Source organism: Homo sapiens, chromosome 2 (assembly GCF_000001405.40).
Source record: "Homo sapiens chromosome 2, GRCh38.p14 Primary Assembly".
Classification (NCBI taxonomy): Eukaryota; Metazoa; Chordata; class Mammalia; order Primates; family Hominidae; genus Homo; species Homo sapiens.
Window position 1 is genome coordinate 114,203,176 of NC_000002.12, and position 2,090 is coordinate 114,205,265.

Below are 2,090 nucleotides of genomic sequence, written 5' to 3' on the forward strand. Positions count from 1 at the left end.
AAATTACATGCCCGTGACACAGAAATCCTAAGTATGTGAGATGAGATTCTAATGCACGTCTGTATTAAAGAATCCTGGACGGCAAAGTGGCTGCATGGAGGTCAGACACTCTGGAAGCCTCCGAGTCCCCAAACAGACTTGTTTGAATAAAAAGTACAATAAAGTCTTGATGAGTAATTATGGAATTGTTTGTTACCCAGCATAGCTTATCCTAGCCTGACTAATACAGCTGCTTCCAAAGCTTTTAACCATCTTCTCTCCAAGCTACTTTAATATCCCAACTCTGTGTATTCTTGGAGAATATGTTCTAGAAAATCATAATAAATAGAGATTCTGTTTCTTCTCAGATATTCCTTCTTTTCCAGCACACTTTCATTGGTTCTGATTAACTTTGGGAAATAGCTTCAGTGAAACATTTAGGGCATTAAGTCCTCTCAGAGTAGAAAAGGATGATTTCAAGGTGAAGGGGCAGGGAGTATTGGAAGCCTAGGGTTCAAAATCTGTGACTGAGAGGGATGACCAAGAAGGCCAGACTATTTTTTTTAAGAGCTATACTCAGTGAGTGAATTCTGAATGGTACAAATGAGGCTTGTTGCTATGACACCAAATGATTCCATATTTAGTGCAATGGAATCCCCATTTGTGTTCTTAAAAAATTAAAGCAGTTTTATGGATATTAAATGTTTAAGTGGCTCTAGCAGCTAGAAAGAAAAATTGCCTTATGAATAAAACAGACCAATGCGTGATTGCTTGCATGGAAAGCATTTGAAAAATGTGTTTTCAGAGTATGGAGCTTGGCAGCTTTTGTTTTACAGTGTGCAATGATAGGAGGAAATGAATGAATGAATATATAAATGATTGTAGGCAAACTATGGAATGAAAAAATTGTGGGAGAGAAATTAAGGTTACTTCAATACACTTTTTTCCTGAGCATTTATTATGAGTTCAGCAACATGCAGGGTGTTGGAGCATGCTAAAGCAGCCCCTTGGGTGGAGTTTGACTTTACTCTTCCTCCATTCATGTATTAGCTAAAATGACACTAGCATATTTGACCATGTACTAAATAAATTCCAAGATTCCAATGTCTTAATACAGAAGATGTTTTAATAATCAAGTTTACTGAGGAATAATTTATATAAAGTGTACAGTTCAATGAACATTAACAAAGATTTACAACTAAGTATACAGCACCACAGCCAAGACACAGAATATTTCCATCACCCCAAAAAGTTCCCTTATGCTCTTTTGGAGTAGTTCCCTCCTTCCACCCCCAGAACTGAGCAACTACTGCTCTGATTTCTGTTCCTATGATTTTGACTTCTCCAGAATGTTACATTAATGGAATCATTCACTATATAGCTTTTGTGTGTGTGCCTGTCTTTTTTACATAGCATAATGCTTTTTGAGATTCATTCATGTTCATATATATATATATATATATATCTTTAACACATTTTTTATTGCTGAATGGTATTCCATTGTATGCATTTGCTGCAATATGTTTATTCATTTACCAATTAACAACCATTTGGGTTGTTTCTAGTTTTTACTTATTGTGAATAAAACTTCTTAATCTTGTACAGATCTTAGTGTGAATCACAGAGTAAATTTTTCTCACTTATGCAAATGTTCAATATGGGTTTTCTCAATGGACAAAAACAGCTTTTTGTTTTTTTCCCACACAGTAACTTGGAAATCTAGGCTTCTTTTGTCTTGTGGCTCCCTAACCATCCAGGGCCTTGGACTTGTTTGTTTCTAGGCATTGGAAAGGAAAAGGATCTACTTCAAGTACTCCATCTCAGAAAGGAACCAAATCACTTCTACTTATATTCTGCTGGTAAGAACTAGATATGTGGCCACCCCAGGATGCAAGGGGGCTAGGAAATTTATTCCATAAACAACCCTATGCTATGGACAGGGGTGCATTGATTTTGGGTGGACCAATATTTTCTGATAACACAATTTATTTGCTCACCAAATATTAATTGAGAATCTACCAAATATCAAGTACTGGGAGATAAAGCAAGGACCAAACAAATAAACCAAAACAAATCCAGGCCTTAACATCTTGTGTTTATAGTCTGGATAG